The sequence below is a fragment of the Homo sapiens genome, chromosome 2 (genome assembly GCF_000001405.40).
Source record: "Homo sapiens chromosome 2, GRCh38.p14 Primary Assembly".
Classification (NCBI taxonomy): Eukaryota; Metazoa; Chordata; class Mammalia; order Primates; family Hominidae; genus Homo; species Homo sapiens.
Window position 1 is genome coordinate 151,247,928 of NC_000002.12, and position 21,345 is coordinate 151,269,272.

Consider the following 21,345-nt stretch of genomic DNA (forward strand, 5'->3'; position numbering starts at 1 on the left):
AACACATATACATAAAGATATTAAAACTTTTATTTTAGAATTTTAGTCATGATATAGTAAAACACGTAAATTCACCAGTTTATAAAAATGATTAGATGCAAATTATTTTTCTGACAAAATGGGCTAAGGATAAGCTTTAAGCTTTTTTAATAGGCAATCTTATAAAGGCTGTAAATCAAATTTGGGATAAAGCAGTTTGAGTCACTCACCAGTGCACTAAATTGAACAAAAAATAGTTAACTGTGAAAGTGTGCTGAATTATGTGAGTAGGACCAAAAGACAAGAGTGATTTTTAACAAGGTTTATACAGTATTTTCTTGGACTCAATTCTTTGTCATTGAAGATAAAAATGCTGCTATTCTTTTTTGTATAGGGAGGAAGGTTTTACATGGGAATTTAATCTTTGCTTTAAAAAAAAAACAGTAGGAAGGTCAAAATGACTTTGTTTTATATCTGCTGGTTTTCAAGTGTTTTTATTTAAGTAGTATGTTAGAATAGCTGTTTAGAGAAGGATAAAGAGGGGATACTGTAAGAAGGGGAGGGGAAAGGTCTAGAAAAGAAAGTTTCAGCCACCTTTGAGACAGTATTTTTTAACAAGGCAATATTTGTATCCTGAATGTGTTTTGTTTTTGTTTTTATTTTTTTTTAGCCTCAAGATATCAATGAAATATGCATATCTTATTTGGAGTGTATGATTTTATAGCCTCCATCTTTTAGTTCAGTTTTAAGAAAAACAGACTAAATGATCCCTGTAATGTTTGAATATGTTACTAGCTGGAGTTCCAGAAAATATTCTGGCATGCCTTTGAACTTTGAGAGCTCATTTCGTGGGTGCTCTGATTTAATGTCAACTATGCAAAAGCCAAGTAAATGCAAGCACTGAATACACAAAGGCCAAATAAATACAAGACAGGACAGAAAATAAAATACATGCTTACCAGTAAGAATGATAAGCCTTCTCCAAAGAAAGGGAAAAATTCCCTCATCCAAGCCTCAAGGTCCAAACCTCGCAGCTGAGGTCAACAGGGGGAAAATAATTCTACCCAACAGATCTACCAAACAAGAGGGGGAAAGACCTCTCCCTAATCATATCCCAAATAAAACAGAACTCGAACCATATCTGAGAGTTCTGTCCAAGAGATACTTACTGGAGGGAGAAAGGATTACCTGTGAAAGTGGTGGGGGTGTAGGGGGTTCAAAGGGCCCCAACATGGGTACCTCATGCCATAACTCCAAAGGCCAATGATTCTCCATGAGGTGAGTCAGCTTTGTATCCCACTTCTGACACCATGCATGTCAAAGTCAAAATGAAAATGTAGACACAAAACTAAATTTAATGTTTTGAGAAGAAAGAATTTCAATTCTAGGTGATCTTTAGTATGTCCAACAAACAAAGAGAAGGTTGAGGGTTTTATTTAAAACTAAGAATGTTACTTGTGGTCTTTCTTTTTTTTTTTTTTTTTTTTTTGAGACGGAGTCTCGCTCTGTCACCCAGGCTGGAGTGCAGTAGTGCAGTCTTGGCTCACTGCAAGCTCCACCTCCCGGGTTCACGCCATTCTCCTGCCTCAGCCTCTAGCCTCCCGAGTAGGTGGGACTACAGGCGCCCACCACCATGCCCGGCTAATTTTTGTATTTTTAGTAGAGATGGGGTTTTACCATGTTAGCCAGGATGGTCTCAATCTCCTGACCTTGTGATCCACCCGCCTCGGCCTCCCAAAGTGCTGGGATTACAGGTATGAGTCACCACGCCCGGCCAACTTGTGATCTTAAGAGAAAGTTCATTGGTATTAGTAAAGCCCTGGGGAGCTGGCAAGCTCCAACTGGTGGGCAATGGCCATAGGTAAAATTAGTCCTAGAGTTACAGCAAGTTATCTCAGCAGCTATAGACAAAACTGGTCTCAGGTTACAGCAAGCAGTTTCAGTAGCCAGGCTCACAGAGAATTACATTCTTGGAGCAATATTATGTGTCCCAAGTACTTTTTCCCCCTAGCTTCTTGAGTCTGTTTTAGTTGGATGTGACAAGAATGACTCAATTAATATTATCAACTTGCACAATTATAAAAGAATCACCATTTTATGTAAGCACTTAGGCTAAAAAAATAGTAAAAACATCCTATGTGGCCAGCAGCCTTGAAACAATAGAATTTAGTCAAATAATGATTACCTGCATAAGATATGCTTTCCATCTAAGTAGTTTCCCCAGTGATTTTTGCCAGTATTCTAATTCTACACGGAGTAAACACAAACTGTAAATGTTAAGAAATTGCCCATGGCATAATAATCACCTTTCAAATTTCTCATATGTTAAGGCTACTTCTTAATAATTATTATTCTCTAATAATTTGGAGTTACAGAGAAAGTAAGATTCCTTCAAAGTTTGGTGAGTTTGCTGGGCGCAGTGGCTCACGCCTGTAATCCCAGCACTTTGGGAGGCCGAGGCGGGTGGATCACAAGGTCAGGAGATGGAGACCATCCTGACTAACACGGTGAAACCCCATCTCTACTAAAAAAATACAAAAAGATTAGCCGGGCGTGGTGGTGGGCACCTGTAGTCCCAGCTACTCCAGAGGTTGAGGCAGGAGAATGGTGTGAACCCAGGAGGTGGACGTTGCAGTGAGCCGAGATCACGCCACTGCACTCCAGCCTGGACAACAGAGCGAGACTCCATCTCAAAAAAAAAAAAAAAAAAGTTTGGTGAGTTTTTTTCAAAGTTTTATTCCTTAGATATTATCTGTGTAATCAGATAGACTGGGCTAAGCCACAGCCTCATTCTTTGTCAACTGGATAACTTCAGAAAAGTGTTTTAACTTCTCCAAATCCTAGTTTCTTCCGCTGTAACATGAGGATAGTCAACACTGACAAAGAAGGATGACTATAAGGATTCATGAGATACGGTGTGTAAAGCTAGCCTCATTCATGGCAATGGTCACTGCTCAGCAAGAGAAAGCAGCCCTTATGACTATATTGCTGAGATTTTATTAACTAACCTTTTGCCCTATTAATTTCATGACCCCTTTTTTAAACAGGTAAGTGTCAGAAGAAGATCCTATAATGTCAATGTGTGTCCTATAAAGGTTAATCAGGACTTCAAGGTATCTCGAACTTAATTGTTCACATGCCCTTTTGATCATTCTTTTCTCTCTATTTTCCTTTCCTTCCAAAATAAATGTCTCTTTTCTAAGCTTTAAGTAAAGAGCATGTGACCATTCCTCAATGAGCTCTTTTACATGTTTTGCATTGTTTGGCTGAGAACCAACTTGAATGCTTTTTAGACAAATTGTGGTGATTTCACCATCCACTTTCTCCTGACTCAGAATGTGGAATTTTTTCAGTGTGCTTTCATAAGATCCACACTTGTGTTTCAGGTAAAGAAAAACATCTGTGTCAAGCACAAGCATTTCTCCACTTCTAGCAGTCTCAGGTACTAAGGTCCTGACTGATGCCAAAGAGTTATTACTTCTCTGTAGATTCCTCTGGGGATTTTGTCTATTCCACTTTCTCTCCTCACTGGTAAAATTTCTGTCTTTTTCTAAGAGAGAACATGCTCTTGCTAGCAAAGATTCTCTGAGCCTCTTGACAGCCAGAAATGATCCTTCCACGGAGATTCTTCCATTGGGTTTCAAAGGACTGAAGCTTAAACTCGGGATTTTTTTTTTCAGGTCTTTTACCAGAGTTTCTAGAGTAACTTCTTTTCCAAAAACAGAAAGATCAAGGATGGCATTTACAGAGCTGAAGATCTGAAATTAAAAAGAGAGAAATGAAAACAGTACTGCCTAGTGGGAAAGACTACATAAACATGTTCTTTTCTGCCACTTTCTTTTCTCTGCAGAAATTGCAATAAACCAGGCCCCAGTTGCCTGCCCCAGACTTCCTGACTTCTTGCACCAGGGCAGCCCATCAAAGTTATCCCATTTTGTTCAATTTGGGATTCACACTCCCTCACCACATACCCCAAAACAGACAGGCTCAAATAATTTTTAGAGGCAGAATTCTTTTTTGAAACAGTTTTATGCAGAACCAATACATACAAACTGTTCTGGTTCTGCTTGGATAGGGTTCCCCCAGGAGTCATTCCTGCCCCCAGTCAAGTTCATCAGATGGCTGCATACAACTCTGAGTGTCTTACAGAATCAAGTTGGTAAACCATTGCTTTGGATTTTAACTTTTTCCTCTTTTTCTTACTTTCTGTCTCTTCAAAGCTTCTTTTTAATGTTCATTCTAATTGTTTTTTCCCAAAATAAGCCTTTAGGTTGGTACCTGGCATCATCCATGACAGTATAAGCGTTTACCATCACTTTAAAAGCATTAAGTGAGGCTGGGCGTGGTGGCTCACCCCTGTAATCCCAGCACTTTGGGGGGCTGAGGTGGGAGGACTGCTTGAGTCCAGGAGTTTGAGACCAGCTTGGGCAACATAGGGACACCCTGTCTCTACAAAAACTACAAAAATTAGCCAGGCCTGGTGGTACACACCTATAGTCCCAGCTACTCGGGAGGTTGAGGCAGGAGAATCACCTGAGCCCAAGAGGCAGAGTTTAGAGTGAGCCAAGATTATGCCACTGCCTGGGTGACGGAGCAAGACCTTTTCTCAAAAAATATACACTTTGTAAAATAAAACATTAAGTGACACACATAGAAAGATAAAAATAGATGAGGTGATAACCAAAATTTCAAGGGCCAGGGTTGGCCTTTAACACTGACTCAGGGAGTTTGCATTTTCCTTCCTAGAAGTCATGGAGTGAGAGCACTTTGTGTCGCCTGCCATAAGAAAAACTTCAAAAAAGAAATGGGATACAGGACTATCAGTACACCTACAGCATCACACCTTACCTTGTCACCAAAATGAGAGACTCTGAGAGAGACTGTGAGTTCAGCATGTCTAGTCTTCCTTGCTAGCCAGTGTTTCTTTTGTCTGATGACATTCTCTGCAACTAAGTGGAAACACTGGCATCAGAAGTGTTTATGGCATGATACACTAATAATTTTTTAATAAAAATAGGCATATTCAATTATAGAAGAATGTCTAAGATTTTTTTCTACATTTTTCCTCTAAATTCAACATTCAAATCACTTTTTTGTTGCACTTTAACTCATTAAAGTTCATTTTATGTGTAAATATTATCCAAATCATGTTATAAAGCACACAAGGTATTATATGCATGAATAAAAAACAAAAATGTAAAGGTATATCCCCATCTCTGTTAATTCTAGTCACAAGAAGACTTTACATTCTTGATCCAAGATATCATACTGTTCTGGTTTTCCTCCCAATTCACTGGCTGACCTGCTGAGTCTCCTTCCTAATCCTCCTCTCTTCCCATTCTCTAGATGTTGGCGAGACCTGGACCTCAGGCCTCATGCTTCTTTGCTAACCTGTACCCCATCCCCTGGGTGATCTCAACCATCTCTATGGCTTTAGACAACATCTCTACGTGAATCGCTTTCAAAATTCTATCTTCAGCCTCGATCTTTCTCCCTTCTGCCTGTAGAACTCTCTACCTCATTATCCTAATAGGCATCTCATTGACCCAAACTGAACTGTTGATAACTATCTCCCTCCCAAATGTATTCTATCCCCAGTGTTCTCCACCACAGAAAATGATATTTAATCCATCAACATGTCCCGAATACCCACCAGTTCTTATCACCTGCCCTGGTACTGCCCTATCAAAGCCAACGATGAGTAGTAATTCCTGTTGTTCAAACAGCTGCTAGGTTGCTCATTTAAGAAAAGGCAGTCCAATCTTGTCAATCCCCTGCTTGAAACCTTCCATCTCACCCCAGAATAAAATCCCAGACACCTTTCCATGATCCAGCAGTTACTGAGCATAAACTGGCCCCGGCTCCCCATCTAACCACATCTCCTATCACTCTCCCCCAGCTCATTCCACTCCAGCCACACAGGCCTCCTTGCTGTTCTTCCACACACCCAGCATGCTCCCCACTCACAAAATTACCAGTCCCTCCCTTGGCCTAGAATGTTCTCCCCACTTATCTGTATGAATTATTCCCTTGGCCTCTGCTCAAATGTCATCTAAACAGAGCATTTCCCTTCCTATTCATCTAAAACAGCACTTTCCGTCATATTCTATCCCTTTATTCTTCTTTATGTCTTGTCGTAGCACTTATTTATGAATATATAATCATAAATATATTTAAATAAACAAATATCTAAGTTTTATATAAATAAATAAAGCACCAAACATATTATAGATTCATTTGTTTAAAATCTGTCCAGATGTACATCTCAAGAAAAAAAAGGCTTTGCCTATTTCACTTATTGCTGTATCCTCAAGACCCAGCATGCTGCCTGGTAAATAACAGGTACTCAGAAAATATTTATGAATGAATGACCGAGGCCAATCTCTCTCTCTCTCTCTCTTTCTCTCTCTCTCTGTCTCTCTGAGTTGCCAATTCAACATATAAAATATTAACTTTCAAAAACACTACCATCTCCTTAGAGAAAAAATGAGCCCCTGAGCCCCTCCTGCCATCCCTTACCTGAACATCCCCATTGAGAAGGAATGACTTAATTAATGGTGACAGCTAAAGGTACTGAAAATCCATAGTGCCTTGGATCTTTCTCTGGACTCTGTCATCCCTCAAGCAAAGCAAGTTCTCTTGCTCTGCTCCAACCCCCATGTGGTATGTTCACCTCCAAGAGCCTGGCATGGAGACTTGTTTTTCTCTGGCAATGTATTTTCTGCCAGCCACTAAGCTGTAAAGAAGGTTGCCCGTTCCATGAGGCTGAAGGGGTATGTGTGCTCTGCCAACCCAACTTCCTCACCATCTAAGTCAGGGATTGGGTGCAGGGAGCAGAATGGCTCATTCTGATCTCAAATCCAAGCCACACTTCTCAATTCAACTTTGCCAGTAATAAGGCAGATACTATATTAGAATATCCATTTATTCTAAAATATATAATTGAGGCCACCTGAAAATTCCCAAAGTAGTCATCTTGTTTATGAGATTATATATCATCTTTGTGGGGTTTTTCTCCATTTTGTCGGTATTTTACAGGTTTTCTACAATAAAATGTAACACTTTCACCCCAAGATATAGACAGATTCAAAATACAGAAGAAAGTTTTCAAGAATTTGCCAGTCACTAACAACTTTATCATGAGCCATTTTCATATCTTTTCTTCCTAAAGCAATATCGTGCCATTTGTATATTCACAATAAAATATTTTTTTTTAAAGTTACTTTAGCCAGGCGTGGTGGCTCATGCCTGTAATCCCAGTACTTTGGGAGGCTGAGGCAGGCAGATCACTTGAGGTCAGGAGTTCGAGACCAACCTGGCCAACATGGTGAAACTCTGTCTCTACTAAAAATAAAAAATTTAGCTGGGCGTGATGGCAGGCGCCTCCTGTAATCCCAGCTATTCAGGAGGCTGAGGCAGGAGAATCACTTGAACCTGGGAGGCAGAGGTTGCAGTGAGCTGAGATCATGCCACCGCACTCTAACCTGGGCAACAGAGTGAGACTGTGTCTCAAAAAAAAAACTACTTTAAAATTTACCAATTCCGTGGATCATTTTAATAAAATGTAATTTTTAAATTTTATTGAAGAAGTATTTCTAAAATTACAAAAATTTGACTTGGAAATACCTTTTTTTTCTTTGAATATTACATATGCAACTCCCTTGGTTCTTGTCGGATATATCACATCTTCAACATCTCCGCCCTCATTCTTAATGTCTTGGAAGTGGCTCTTCACTAATACGGCCAATAATTGATCACTAAAAAGGTCAACTGGAAGACCAGCAACTACAACCGTTCTTTCAGGAGCTTTGGATTCCTTGACATTCAAAACTGATGCCTGTAAGAGAAACAGCAGGTTATTCTTTAAAAACACAAGACTCTATATAATAAAGATGACATCACACTTCAGTGGAGAGAATATCTTATTCTATAAAAGTGCCGGTGCAGCTGGTTAGATACTTTTTAAAAGGGGTGTAGGGGAGTAAATCCTTGCCTCACACCATATACCAACATAAACTCTATATGAATTTAAGAGTTAAATGTAAAAATTAAACCCTTCTTTTTTTCTTTTTTGAGATGGAGTCTCACTCTGTCACCCAGGCTGGAGTGCAGTGGTATGATCTCAGCTCGCTACAATCTCTGCCTCCCAGGTTCAAGCGATTCTCCTGCCTCAGCCCCTCAAGTAGCTGGGATTACAGGTGCCCACCACCACACCCAGCTAATTTTTGTATTTTTAGTAGACACGAGGTTTCACCATGTTGGCCAGGCTGGTCTTGAACTCCTGACCTCAAGAGATCTGCTGCCTCAGCCACTCTAAGTGCTGGGATTACAGGCATGAGCCACCACGCCCAGCCACCCTTTTTTTCATAAGTGGAAAATATTGGTTAATATTTGTCTGATTTAGGAAGGCCTAAAAATAATGGAAGAAGTTACAAAGGAAAAGATCAAAAACATAAATTTAAAAATTTATTAATTAAAAATAAGTCAAACTAACCACAAAATATGGTATTTGGAGGTGGCTGTATGTTTTCTTTACATTGTAGAGTCTAAAGTATGTAAGACAGTAAGAAACACATCCCCTACTTTTATTGTCAGAATCAGGAAAGTTACCATAAAAAAATAAAACATTGGGCCATGGATAGTGGCTCACACCTGTAATCCCAGCAGTTTGGGAGGCTGAAGCAGGCAGATCACCTGACATCAGGAGTTCCAGACCAGCCTGGCCAACATGGTGAAACCCCATCTCTACTAAAAATACAAAAAGCAGCTGGGCGTGATGGCGGGCGCCTGTAATCCCAGCTACTCATGAAACTGAGACAGGAGAATCACTTGAACCCAGGAGGCGGGGGTTGCAGTGAGTCCAGATCACACCACTGCACTCCAGCCTGGGAAACAAGAGACTCTGTTTCTAAATAAATAAATAAACAAACCAACCAACCCCTGGCAAGAACATGGGGACTGCAGTGGAGTAAAGCCTGACTTCCAGCACATATCGGACATGAAAGTCAGCCACAGCAAGTACACACTATTGCAGACCCTGCCACCATGCTGGGCACAGAGTATCAACTGCAAGTAGACCCTTTGTTGGGCTCAATCTCTTTGAACTTATATTATCCAGTTAAGGCTTCTATTTAAATGCTTTAATTTGTCCCTCAGCCTCATTTAGGGAAGTGGATTTATAAGCTTCTCCCAATTTTTAAACAGTCCACCCGAGCTCAAACATAAACTGTCCTAAGCTACCCAGGGTTGGACAGGACAGCTCATGGGCTACAGCGATGGTTAGCAGACCTGAAAGGAATTTGGGGCCCTCAGTCCAGAGGCCTCTCTATTCAACAGGACTCCACTGAAACTATTTCTGACCTACCAGATCAGGAAGACAGTGTAAGAGCACGCATGCGTGCACAAACACACACACACACACACACAAACACACACACACACACACAGTGTCCTGTCCATCCCAAGAGCCCCATAAAATGAAAGTAAAACAATTTTAAAAAGAAGGCCAGGCACGGTGGCTCACACCTGTAATCCTAGCACTTTGGGAGGCCGAGGCAGGCAGATCACCTGAGGTTGGGAGTTCGAGACCAGCCTGACCAACATGGAGAAACCCCGTCTGTACTAAAAATACAAAAAATTAGCCTGGCATGGTGGTGCATGCCTGTAATCCCAGCTACTCTGGAGGCTGAGGCAGGAGAATTGCTTGAACCCAGGAGGCGGAGGTTGGGGTGAGCCGAGATCGCCCCATTTCACTCCATCCTGGGCAACAAGAGTGAAACTCCTTCACAAAAAAAAGATAATTTTAAAAACAATAAACCCAGTTGAAGGGAGCAATCAGCACAGGAGAGTTCAACAAATGAAGATTGAAAACACATGGAAGTGGCCGGGCGTGGTGGCTCACGCCTGTAATCCCAGCACTTTGGGAGGCCAAGGCTGGTGGATCACCTGAGGTCAGGAGTTCTAGACCAGCCTGGCCAACATGGTGAAATGCCGTCTCTACTAAAAATACAAAAATTAGCTGGGTGTGGTGGCAGGCACCTGTAATCCAGCTACTCAGGAGGCTGAGGCAAGAGAATAGCTTAAACCAGGGAGGCGGATGTTGCAGTGAGCCCAATTGTGCCATTGCACTCCAGCCCTGGACGACAAGAGCAAAACTCCATCTAAAAAAAAAAGAAAGAAAGAAAAAGAAAAGAAAATACATGGAAGTATATGGAACGATAAGACAGAGGGAAAGAGCTAACTCAGAATATGCAAAAGGGGGTTATAGTGAACAGGTGACGACTTTCAGAGCAGAACCTCAGAAATAAAGGGACCAAACCAAGGGTTTGTTGACAGGGTATTGGTAAAACAACTGCTCCAGCTGTCTCCTCACATTCCCTACCCCCAGTGCACACAAGATTGGACATGCACATAACATGCTGTAATGAAGGCAGCTGGGCCAAACCACAAGGAAAAAAACTTGAGGATTATTTTACTTTAAAAAAAAAAAAAAAGGCCTGAAAAGCCTGACTGTGCATGGTGGCTCATGCCTGTAATTCCAGCACTTTGGGAGGTCAAGGTGGGCGGATCACTTGAGGCCAGGAGTTCCAGACCAGCCTGGCCAACATGGTGAAACCTAGTCTCTATCAAAAACAGAAAAAATTAGCCGGGTGTGGTGGTGCACACCTATAGTCCCAGCTAGCTACTCCAGAGGCGGAGATAGGAGGATCGCTTGAGCACAGGAGATCGAGGCTGCAGTGAGCCAGGATGGCACCACTGCACTCCAGCCTGGGTGACAGAGCAAGGCTCTGTCTCAAAAACAAAAAATGCCTGAATGAACACTTCAGAGAGAACCTGCTAGCATGTATATCCCAGAGCAAGTTCTCTCCCATTTCTGGGATTTGAAGGGGCCCCAGCCTAAAAATCATAAGAAAACTAAAGTACTTGCATGATTTTAAGTAAATTATGGAATGCAGGCCGGGCACGGTGGCTCACACCTGTAATCCCTGCACTTTGGGAGGATGAGGCGGGCAGATCACCTAAGGTCAGGAGTTCGAGACCAGCCCGGCCAACATGGTGAAACCCCAACTCTACTAAAACTACAAAAATTAGCTGGGCGTGGTGGCACATGCCTGTAGTCCCAGCTACTTGGGAGGCTGAGGCAGGAGAATGGCTTGAACCTGGGAGGTAGAGGTTATAGTGAGCACCACTGCACTCCAGCCTGCCTGGGCAATAGAGGGAGACTTCGTCCCCAAAAAAAAAAAGGAAGAAAGAAAGGAAAGAAAGAAAGAAAATCCATTTGACCCATTTGCTGGGAACATTTTCCTAGAAGTGGAAAAGGAAAAATACACATAACACTGGACCAAAAGGAGAAAAAGTAATCATAGCACACTATTGGGACCTGCTATAAACAATATTTACTGTTTACATTATTATCGGTTTTTCACCTTTAGACCAAACCTGCTAAGTCTTAAAAAAGGCCAGGTGCAGTAGTTCACGGCTGTAATCCCAACACTTTGGGAAGATGAGGTGGGCAGATCACTTGAAGTCAGGAGTTCGAGATCAGCCTGGCCAACATAGTGAAACGCCATCTCTACTAAAAATACAAAAATTAGTGGAGGCAGGCGCCTGTAATCCCAGCTACTCCAGAGGCTGAGGAACCAGAATGGCTGGAACACAGGAGGTGGAGGTTGCAGTGAGCCAAGATCGCACCACTGCACTCCAGCCTGGGTGACAGAGTGAGACTCTGTCTCAAAAAAAATAAAAATAAAAACATTGAAAATTTAAATATGGTTACAAAAAAACAGAAATGCTCAACCCTGTCAATGTAAGAATAAAGGCAGGGCCATCATATCAGAAAGCAAAAAAGGCATAAAGAAAAACTTTATTTTTCTAAGTGAAGCACTAGGGAGAAATAGAAGATTCACTCACTGCATTTGTTTTTATTTCTTTTGGGAGATCTTTTTCTTTTCTTGTTTTTTGTTTGTTTGTTTGTTTTGAGATGGAGTCTAGCTCTGTCACCTACGCTGGAGTGCAGTGGCGCGATCTTGGCTCACTGCAACCTCCACCTCCCGGGTTCAAGCGATTCTCCTGCCCCAGCCTCCTGAGTAGCTGGGACTACAGGCATCAGCCACCATGCCCGACTAATTTTTGTATTTTTAGTAGAGATGGGGTTTCACCATGTTGACCAGGCTGGTCTCAAACTCCTGACCTCGTGATCCGCTCCCCCCTCGGCCTCTCGAAGTCTTTTTTTTTTTTTAGACAGCGCCTCGCTCTGTTGCCCAGGCTGGAGAACAATGGCGTGATCTTGGCTCCCTGCAACCTCCGCCTCCTGGGCTCAAGTGATCCTCCCACCTCAGCCTCCCCAGTAGCTGAGACTACAGGTGGATGCCATCACGCCCAGCTAATTTTTGTATTTTTAGTAGAGACTCCTGACCTCAAGTGATCCGCCCTCCTTCGCCTCCCAAAGTGCTGGGATTACAGGCGTGAGCCACCGTGCCGGGCAGGGAGATCATTTTCTGCACCCCAACAATATCAAAGAAAAACATGCAATCAATTTAAACTCAGGAAATCTTACTTCAGCTCTATGCCCTCATTAGTACTAATACCATATTTCTTTATTCGAATGTCTACTGGTAATTTATCTTTAAAATCAAAGAAACTTCTCCCTGAACCAGTATTTTTAGAAGAAAAAAACATAAAGATGTAAATTTTGTTTGGTAAGAACTAGTTTCTATGAATCATCTAATGAATTAGTACTTCAATGACTTGCCAATATTTGTCCTTAACTCCCTTTCATAGGTTGGAGAAAGTATGGCTAACATAGATAATTTTACTGAGGTCAATTATGAATAATGAGGGTTGTTCATCTCTTCTACCCACGATTAAGATAAAGAAATGCCTAGAGAAAGACAGTCCTTTCAAGGACTTTGAAACGAGCAGCTTTTAGCCAAGACATACTAACGTGATGGCGCATTTCCTTGCATCAGTATTGTGTTATAACAGACTTGGCCATCTTATCAGAAAGCAAAAAGTATATAGCAAAACTTTACTTTTGTAAGTAAGGCATTGGGAAGAAACAGAAGATTCATTGACTGCATTTGTTTATATTGATTTTCTCAAAATCAGTTGTTTATTTTCAATGACGACGCCTCTACCGCCACCAGGTCAACAAAAACGTACTTGCTTTTGCATTTCCGGGACTCTAGCATTTCAGAGCAGGAATTAAAGGCCTTGCCAAGGCTTTTAAGCGATTGATGGAAACAAAACAAAACACAGAAGGATAAATTTTGAATTTGCTAAGACAAGAATTCGCACCAAGGCAGACATAAGACATGAGGATGTCTTCCTGACTTGCGTCCTTGGCTCGAATCGTTCTTATTAGCCCTTTTCAAAAGGCAGCTGTGACCTCCATTTCTGGCTAATCAGGCCACTTTTGTTCCCCCCGAGGCGTGGGAGGACAACAGTTAAGCCCTAACAGCCTGCGAAGCAGCTCCTCGACGAACGGCGGCGTCCCCGTCGCCTGGGCAGTGGGTGTGGGAGGTGACAGCCTAGTCCTGAGCCTCTGGAGCGGGCCTATACTGCACCGCCGTACGTGAATTTCAGGAGCGCGCAATGCCGCCACCTGGGAAGGGTGCAGCGAGGCTGACCTGAGTTTGCCCGCCGGGGTGGACGGCTCTCCGGGGCCCCCGGGGTCCCTGGGGCCCCTCCGTGCGCCGCCCCCTCCCGCGCAGCCCTGCACCCTGGCCCGTCGCGCCCGGTTCCGCGCCCTTCTAGGGGACCATGGCGACGGTACAGGCACGGACCTGCACCGCAAAACCCAAAGCAAAAGCAACTTGCCATGGCGGAGGGGAGACGCGCCCTCAGCGGCCGCAGAAAGCCCACAACCAGCGGAACGCAGGCGATGGGGAGAGGAGCGAGCAGGCAGGTTTTGGTTTCGTTTTTTGTTCCAGCTCCCTTGGAGGCTACGAAGAAAAGGGCGGTCCTTCCACCCGATCCGGCTGTTCTGCGACCTCGTGGCCTCTGAGTGGGAGCTCGGACTCAGGAGTGCTGTTGCCAGCGCCTGCCCAGACGCCCTCCGTAGTTTTGCAACTTGTGGAAGCACTCTGGAGAGAGGCCGAGAGGATTCCTCGACAGGAAATTTGGGAATTCTCTGGGTGATGCATCAGTGATTGCAATTTTGTTTTTACCCGTTTTGCTAAGCAGCAGCAACAACGGCAGAGTTGATTTAAAAAAAGAAAAAACGCAAAAAGGGAAAACACATAGTAGGTGGTGGCCGCTTCCTGTGTTGATACTGGGGGGCTACGCTTTTCCTAACATCAATCATCTCGTAGTTGCAGAGAGCCCTAGATGTCATGATAGTTTTGAATCGCATGCATTATCATGTAAGGGAGTTAAATATCTTGCATGCATGCTCTCTTCTGTGTTTATATATTCGATGCCATGAAATTGAAGGGCATGTGGCTAAAACCTTTTTACTACATGAAACTTTACAACACTTTTGAAAACATTTCAATTTGGTTGATGCGCACTGTAATATTTCTCCAGATAACTGTCCAAAATTTTCCATGGAGAAGGCTTTTATCCTCATTAGTTGCTGGCCTCAAACTAACCATCTAGGATATTAAACTTCTGCCAGAATTTTACATCCAGCTACCTTTACTTTTTAGAACGTATTCTCTATCATGTTATTGATATCAATTTCTACTTCACACAGATGGTTTTTTACAACAGCAAATCAAGTTTTTCTAACATCAGTTTTAAAAAGCCCTGCACTCAGTGAAATCTGGATGTCTTTCCTACGCCCTTATTATCTGTCCAGACTTCTTCCCCTTCCCCCACCGCTCACCTGGGCCTTTTCCTCTGCACAACCTACCCCAGTTCCCCAACCCCCACCTCAACCCCCAACGCCGTGTTGGTCACCTTCCCAGCCCAGACCAGGAGCCCTCTTGGACCTCTGCCGGGTGCTAAGGACACAGGATGAGAGCGCCAGGTCCCTGCCAGCAGAGAGCTCACCACCTTGTCCATGCCTTAGCACAGGAACCCCGAATGGCGCCTGTGGGGACACAGGGAATCTCTGGACAAACTTCAAAATCAAATCAATGAATGCATGAAGAACAAAGGTAGATGGCTAGCAGATATGAAGAAACCCAATCCCACTCCTAAGAAATGTAAATTGAAATAATAAGATACCATTTTTCACAACTAGATCTGCAAAACCAGAAAGTGTTAGCCTGAATGTAAGCATCAGAGTTGCTGCAAGCATAGATGGATGCAAATACTTCTAAAGATTTTTATCAAAATGTAAAGTGCAAAAAAATGTAAAATGCACATATTCTTAGTCTCAGCAATTCTACTTTTAGAACTGAACTTGAAGTTATAGTGCGCAAATGGCACTAAGATATTGTATAGAAATTTTAGTTGTACATTGCTTGAAATACAGGTAGTAATAATTTTTTTATAAACTGGGATCCACCTAGTTTATCATTGGATGGAGCTATTTGTTATACGGCTGATGATATATCAGTAAGGCACAAGGCTATGAAGATTTTAAAACAGAATGAGGTAGGGGGAAGTGGCTCCCGCCTGTATTCCCAGAACTTTGGGAGGCCAAGGTGGGCGGATCATTTTGAGCTCAGGAATTCAAGACCAGCTTGAGCAACATGGTGAAACCCGTCTGTACTAAAAATACAAAAATTAGCCGGGCGTGGTGGCACACACCTGTAATCTCAGCTACTCGGGAGGCTGAGGCTAGAGAATCGCTTGAACCCGGGAGGCAGAGTGAGCCAAGATCACACCACTGCACTCCAGCCTGGGCGAGAGAACAAGACTCTATCTCAAGAAGGAAAAAAAAAAAAAACAGCATGAGGTAGATCTGTATGTAATTCCCCAATTTATATTTTATCTCCAGATTTATATATCTAAGTGCCCACTTGAATGTCAAACAAGCATCTGAAATTTAACAAGTAGAACTCCAGAGCAAGACTCTGTCTCAAGAAAAAAAAAAAAAAACAGAATGAGGTACATCTGTATGTAATTCCCCAATTTATATTTTATCTCCAGATTTTATATATCTAAGTGCCTACTTGAATGTCAAACAAGCATCTGAATTTAACAAGGAGAACCCTTCTTCTCCCCTTCTTAATTCCCTCTCAAGAATTGGCAGCACTGTCTACCCATGAGCTCAAGCTCATGACCCAGTTCTTGATTTCTCTTTTCCTCATCCTTCTTAGTATACCCCAACAATGGGCCTTCCAGAGGGACCCAGTATCAGTCCCTCTTTCCAGCTGCATCCCTACCATCCTCATCCAGTCTCCATCCTCTCTAGCTCCTCAGTCCATTCTTGCTACCATACCCAGAAGGATCTTTTTAAAATGTAAATCAGATTCGACTTCTGTTTAAACACATCATTGTTTGCATTGCTTTCACCTGAGCCACAATGACCTTGATCCTTTTTTTTCTGGCCAGATCTCCTACCACTGCCCTGACCCTCTGCTGCAATCGCAACAAGCTATCAGCCTGGGAGTTTTGCCTGACCTATGTACTGTGTCCCTGCCTCAATAGCTCCGCCCTGATCTTCACTTGACTGGCTCCTGCTGTCACTTGGGTCTTAGCTACAATAATGTTAAAGCCGAAAGACTGAGGGTCGTGATCAACTCAGTATACCACTGGAGGCTGTATGGGTAAACAGCAAACTGTTCTCATAAATGCAGAATGTTGGCAAACTGACAAACTGAGTATGCCACCCAGAAGGAATGCTGAGGGCAGTCATGCCCCTCGATCTTTCAGCCTCCAACACAATAACCTCTCTTCAGAAAGACTAGCTCTAATCACCCAGTCTATCTTCCTACTTAATCATTCCATCACCCCGTTATACCATCTTAATAGCCCTGGCCTCTTTCTGAAAATATCTTTATATGTTTGTTTATATTGAATGTCTTTCTTGCTTTCCCCAACTCATAACTGAAGTCTCCATTCTCTCCAGAAAATGATGAGAGGTCTAGGATTAGAGTTGGGAATCCAGGTCAACCTATCTGTGCCATCGAACATGACCTACAGTAACCTTTAATCATATATATGCCAAACTATTCCAACACCCTTGAAGAAAGAGGACTCCAAATGTGGCAAAATTATTTTAGCAGCATATTACTAACTAAAACTGCATTCAAGAAAATCTTTTAACATCTTATAGCCCCAATTATAAGGCCTCTTGCCTCACTGTACTTTTCTGTCTTGAAGCTTTAATAAAATCAAATTGGAGGGCCGGGCGCAGTGGTTCATGCCTGTAATCCCAGCACTTTGGGAGGCCGAGGCAGGCGGATCACGAGGTCAGGAGATGGAGACCATCCTGGGTAACAAGGTGAAACCCCGTCTCTACTAAAAATACAAAAAAATCAGCCGGGCGTGGTGGCTTGCCCCTGTAGTCCCAGCTACTCAGGAGGCTGAGGCAGAAGAATCGCTTGAACCCGGGAGATGGAGGTTGCAGTGAGTTGAGACTGTGCCACTGCACTCCAGCCTGCGTGACAGAGCGAGACTCCATCTCTAAAGAAAGAAAGAAATAAAATCAACATTTTCCTGAACGTTTTTCATTTGTGACACCAAAAAACTAAAGCAAAACCCATTACAGGATGTTTCACCCGTATCTTGGTAATTACTTATTTTCATAAAACCCTGGGATGTGTTATGAAAATTTCCAAAAATAGAATAAAGAAAACATGTTTAGATAAGTAGTATTCAGTGCTGAAATGGAGCAATGAGATAGTGCTTGGTTACACTGTTAATGAAAGTACAAACCAATGCCTACCTTTCTAGTAAGCAATTCTGGCCTCACTTAACAAGATCCTTAAAAGAGTTTTTCGTCCTTCTGCCTTTCAACCTAGCAATTATCACCTTGAAGTAAGGTCAGAACTGCAGAAAATGTCTTATGTACCAAGACATATAAGGACTTACGTACATCAGAATATTTATAAGTGTGAAGAAATTAGAAGCAACCTTATTCCCAACAATAAGGAAGTGACAAATAGCATAGGGTATATGGGTATATTTACAGCATTAAATGTGATGTGGTTAGAAGGAAAAAAAGAATAGAAAAGAGAACACAAAAATATTTACCATTATCTCTGGATGTGTACTTTTGGTGATTTTTATTATCTCCATAATACTATGTGTATTTTTCAAGATTGAGCATCTTTTCTTTTTTAATACCAAGCAGGTATCATTAATGCTATTTCCCATACAGTTTTGGCTTTCTGCCTTCCAACCATATGGTAAGAATGAACATCCAGGCTCCTTTATGGTTGGGTAGGTCCATATGCTTAGTTCTGAGTTGTGAGTGGAAGTGACAAGTATCATTTCTGGGCCAAAAATTTAATTACCAGTTAAAGACCCTTCAAAGCTCTTTTCTTCCTCTGGCATAACATCTAGCAATAGTAAAGATGGTGGCTGCCATGAGTTTGGGTCCCTAAGTGTTTACCATGAGCAGAGCTCTTTTTGTTGAACCATCAATGGCCATGTAGCTTGAGGAAGGAATAAATGTGTGTTGCTTTAAGTCTCTGAAATTTAAAAAGATTTAAAATTTAAAAATTTTAAATTTAAAAATTTTTCACATCAGCATCACATAGCCTATTCTGATTGATACAGAAATTGGTATTCTGAAATGGAGTACTGCTATGGCCAAAAAAAAAACCACACAATCCAAACACTACTTGAAATACATGACTTTGGCTTAGAGGCCAAGTGGCAGATAAGAAGAAAATAGTTATCAGAGATTAGAAGGATGGTGACCCACATTATGCAGTATAAAAGTACTTTGTAAAACTGTCATGTGATAGCTTGGAAAGCAAATAATGTACCTAATTAGCTTGTGGTTTTGGGGTTGTTATTTTTTAAGTATGGGAAGCAGAAAGTTATTAGCATTTTTCTGTTATCATTGAGTGCATTTAACAAATAATATAAGAAAGAAATGACTTTAGAAAAGAACTGGCCAGTTTGAAAGCAGGAATGAAAGGGAATAGAGAAAGTCCAGAAATATGAACTTCCAACTTATGGGGCTGGAAGAAACATTTCTCATTCCCAAATAATAAACAATAAAACCAAGAAGCCTGTTGAGTAACAAAGATTGATTAGAACTCCGGTTTATCGCGGGGATCAAATCAAGGTGTAAATCTCTAAATAGATTAGGATCCCTCAGAGCGAAAACACCAATTAAGGTTGTGGAATACAATAAACCCTTTCAACTGGACAAAATAGCTCAAGGAAATGAAAGCAAAAGTGTGGCCTGATAGACCCAAAGTATCTATAATTAAATGAGGAGAGTGAAAGAAGCATGAGGCTAAGAAAGCAGAGAACAGTAGCAACTCTAAAAAGTAAGTCTAGAAAAGAACTGTGGATGTGTAAGCTTACCAGAATAAAATAGACAAGATGCCTATTGAGTTTTTCCATTTTACCAGCTAAATAACCACCACTCCAGACTAAAGAGACCATGACTGTTCAAAACTTTATAACTTTGGTCACAAACATTGACCATAGGAAGTGCACTAGGGAAGCTTTTCAGATTCCAAGAGATTTCAAATGCCCATTCTAGATATGGCCAAGAAGAATAATGGAAAAAGAAGAGTGTTCAACTGGGAGGCGGAGGTTGCAGTGAGCTGAGATCGCACCACTGCACTCCAGTGTGGGCGATAGAGTGAGAATCCGTGTCAAAAAAAAAAAGAAGAAGAAGAATGTTCAAGAGCCATAAGGACAATGAGCAAGAGAATTCTTAGAGAATGGAATCAGGGCCTAATCCAAATTCCACACCCTGGGAGTATGGAGCACACATCTACTGAATGGGATTTCAGAATTGCTTTGGCCCAGTGACGGCTATGTGTCTCCCATTCTTTCCCTTTCCAAGTGTAAGAGTTTATTGCACTCATCTTATTCCAGTTCCGCTACTCTATATTGGATGTGTGAGGGTCTCTGCATAAAGAGGAGTAACATTCAGACCTGATGTAGAGCACTTTGAATTCATGCACTTTGAGTTTAATATCATGATTGGATAGAATTTCTTGTTTTTCTCCCTTAAGGATGAGATGACTACGAGTGTATTTTGTGTGAGAAGACAAATGAACTAAATATTGGTGGTAAGACAGGTAGGCTATGCTGGTTATTATTCTGGCTCAGCGATATCTGTTTCTCCTAACTTTTGATAAGACAGAATTTCCTAGTCCCCATATATATATTTGGATTTAAAATAGAGATATATAAGCATTTATATATATACATGTATTTAGATTTTAAATAGAGATGGGGTCTCACTGTGTTGGCCAGGCTGGTCTCAAACTCCTGGCCTCAAGTGATCCTCCTATTTTGGCCTCCCAAAGTGCTGGGATTACATGGATGAGCCACCATGCCCAGCCCAAGTCCCTTCTATTTGAATAGGGCCATGTGACTATTTCTGACCAATGAGATGTGAGAAGAAATGACAAGAATCACTTCTGGGTCACAGCATTTAATTGCTGATACAAGACTTTCCAGATTTCACATTTCCTCCCCCTCCTCCACCCTCCATGATTCTTGTCTCAAGAATGGAGTCTCTAAGTGATGAGGATAAACAGAGTCCCCCTGCCAACCTGTGCTGGATAATCAGCATGGGTAAGAATTGTTTAGGCCCATGAGGTTTGGCAGGTTGTTTGTTACTGTGGCATTACCTAGCCTGTGCTGCCTGATAAATCAACAAACAGCAAGAGGAACTTGTAATTCCACATATGTATCTATATGACTTATCATATTGGCAATGTCTGGAGTTAGCTCATCTTGGACATACATATGAAGGCCCCTTTCTTAATATTCAATATATTAAACAGTCAATATGTACTTTTGATAAGTTTTCAAAGACAGCTGTCCTTCTGTAAGATCCCTAAAACTCTAGGAATAAGCAGGAGAGCCAATACTTGTTTTCTGACATCCAGCCAGACTGCTCTTGGGTGAGGGTGAAAGGAATCCAAAAGAAAAGTATAATTTTCTAAGCTAGAAATATTTATAAAAAAACACATAGGAAAATTTAGAATTGAATTATCAATTTTACTGCCTGAAGAGGACCCCCCAAAATACAAAAGTGACTATTTCAACTTTGTCCTAAATAAATATTAACATAAAATTCTTCCTGATAGGCAATCTGCCACAGACTATCAACAATACCTTCTGTGCCAGTGAGACTGGCAAAATGGAAATTAAAAAGCTACTTTAAAGTTTTCTTCTTAATATTTTTGAGAGCTTTAAATAGTCATTCTATTTTAAAAAGAATAATAGACACGAGAGATTTGTTTAAATGGTAAATATGAAGATTTATCATAAACTGTAGTTTTTAGGCACCATCTCTCATTCTTTAAAGAAAGGTGAAAATGAGAA

The 21,345-nt window shown here is 41.7% G+C and overlaps 1 protein-coding gene across 2 annotated transcripts, besides 2 other annotated features; it reads right to left on the minus strand.

Moving 5' to 3' along the window:
- Positions 1–12: 12 nt before the first annotated feature.
- Positions 13–13,936, minus strand: RBM43 (RNA binding motif protein 43). Of its 2 annotated transcripts, none has more exons than NM_198557.3 (4): positions 13,798–13,936; positions 7,606–7,816; positions 4,828–4,928; positions 13–3,737 (listed from the first exon to the last, which is right to left on the minus strand). In NM_198557.3, the coding sequence occupies exons 1-4, from the start codon at positions 13,798–13,800 to the stop codon at positions 2,979–2,981; spliced, it is 1,074 nt and encodes a 357-aa protein (NP_940959.1). In that variant the 5' UTR covers positions 13,801–13,936; the 3' UTR covers positions 13–2,978. The 2 variants fall into 2 exon arrangements, with proteins under 2 accessions (NP_940959.1, XP_047300205.1); XM_047444249.1 differs by lacking the exon at positions 13,798–13,936 and adding an exon at positions 13,141–13,609.
- Positions 13,480–13,749: a silencer, noted in NCBI's record as "silent region_12005". NCBI's record gives its function as "represses an Ori minimal core promoter by ATAC-STARR-seq in GM12878 lymphoblastoid cells {active_cell/tissue: GM12878}" and the evidence as "EXISTENCE:reporter gene assay evidence [ECO:0000049][PMID:35858748]".
- Positions 13,790–14,019: an enhancer, noted in NCBI's record as "active region_16629". NCBI's record gives its function as "activates an Ori minimal core promoter by ATAC-STARR-seq in GM12878 lymphoblastoid cells {active_cell/tissue: GM12878}" and the evidence as "EXISTENCE:reporter gene assay evidence [ECO:0000049][PMID:35858748]".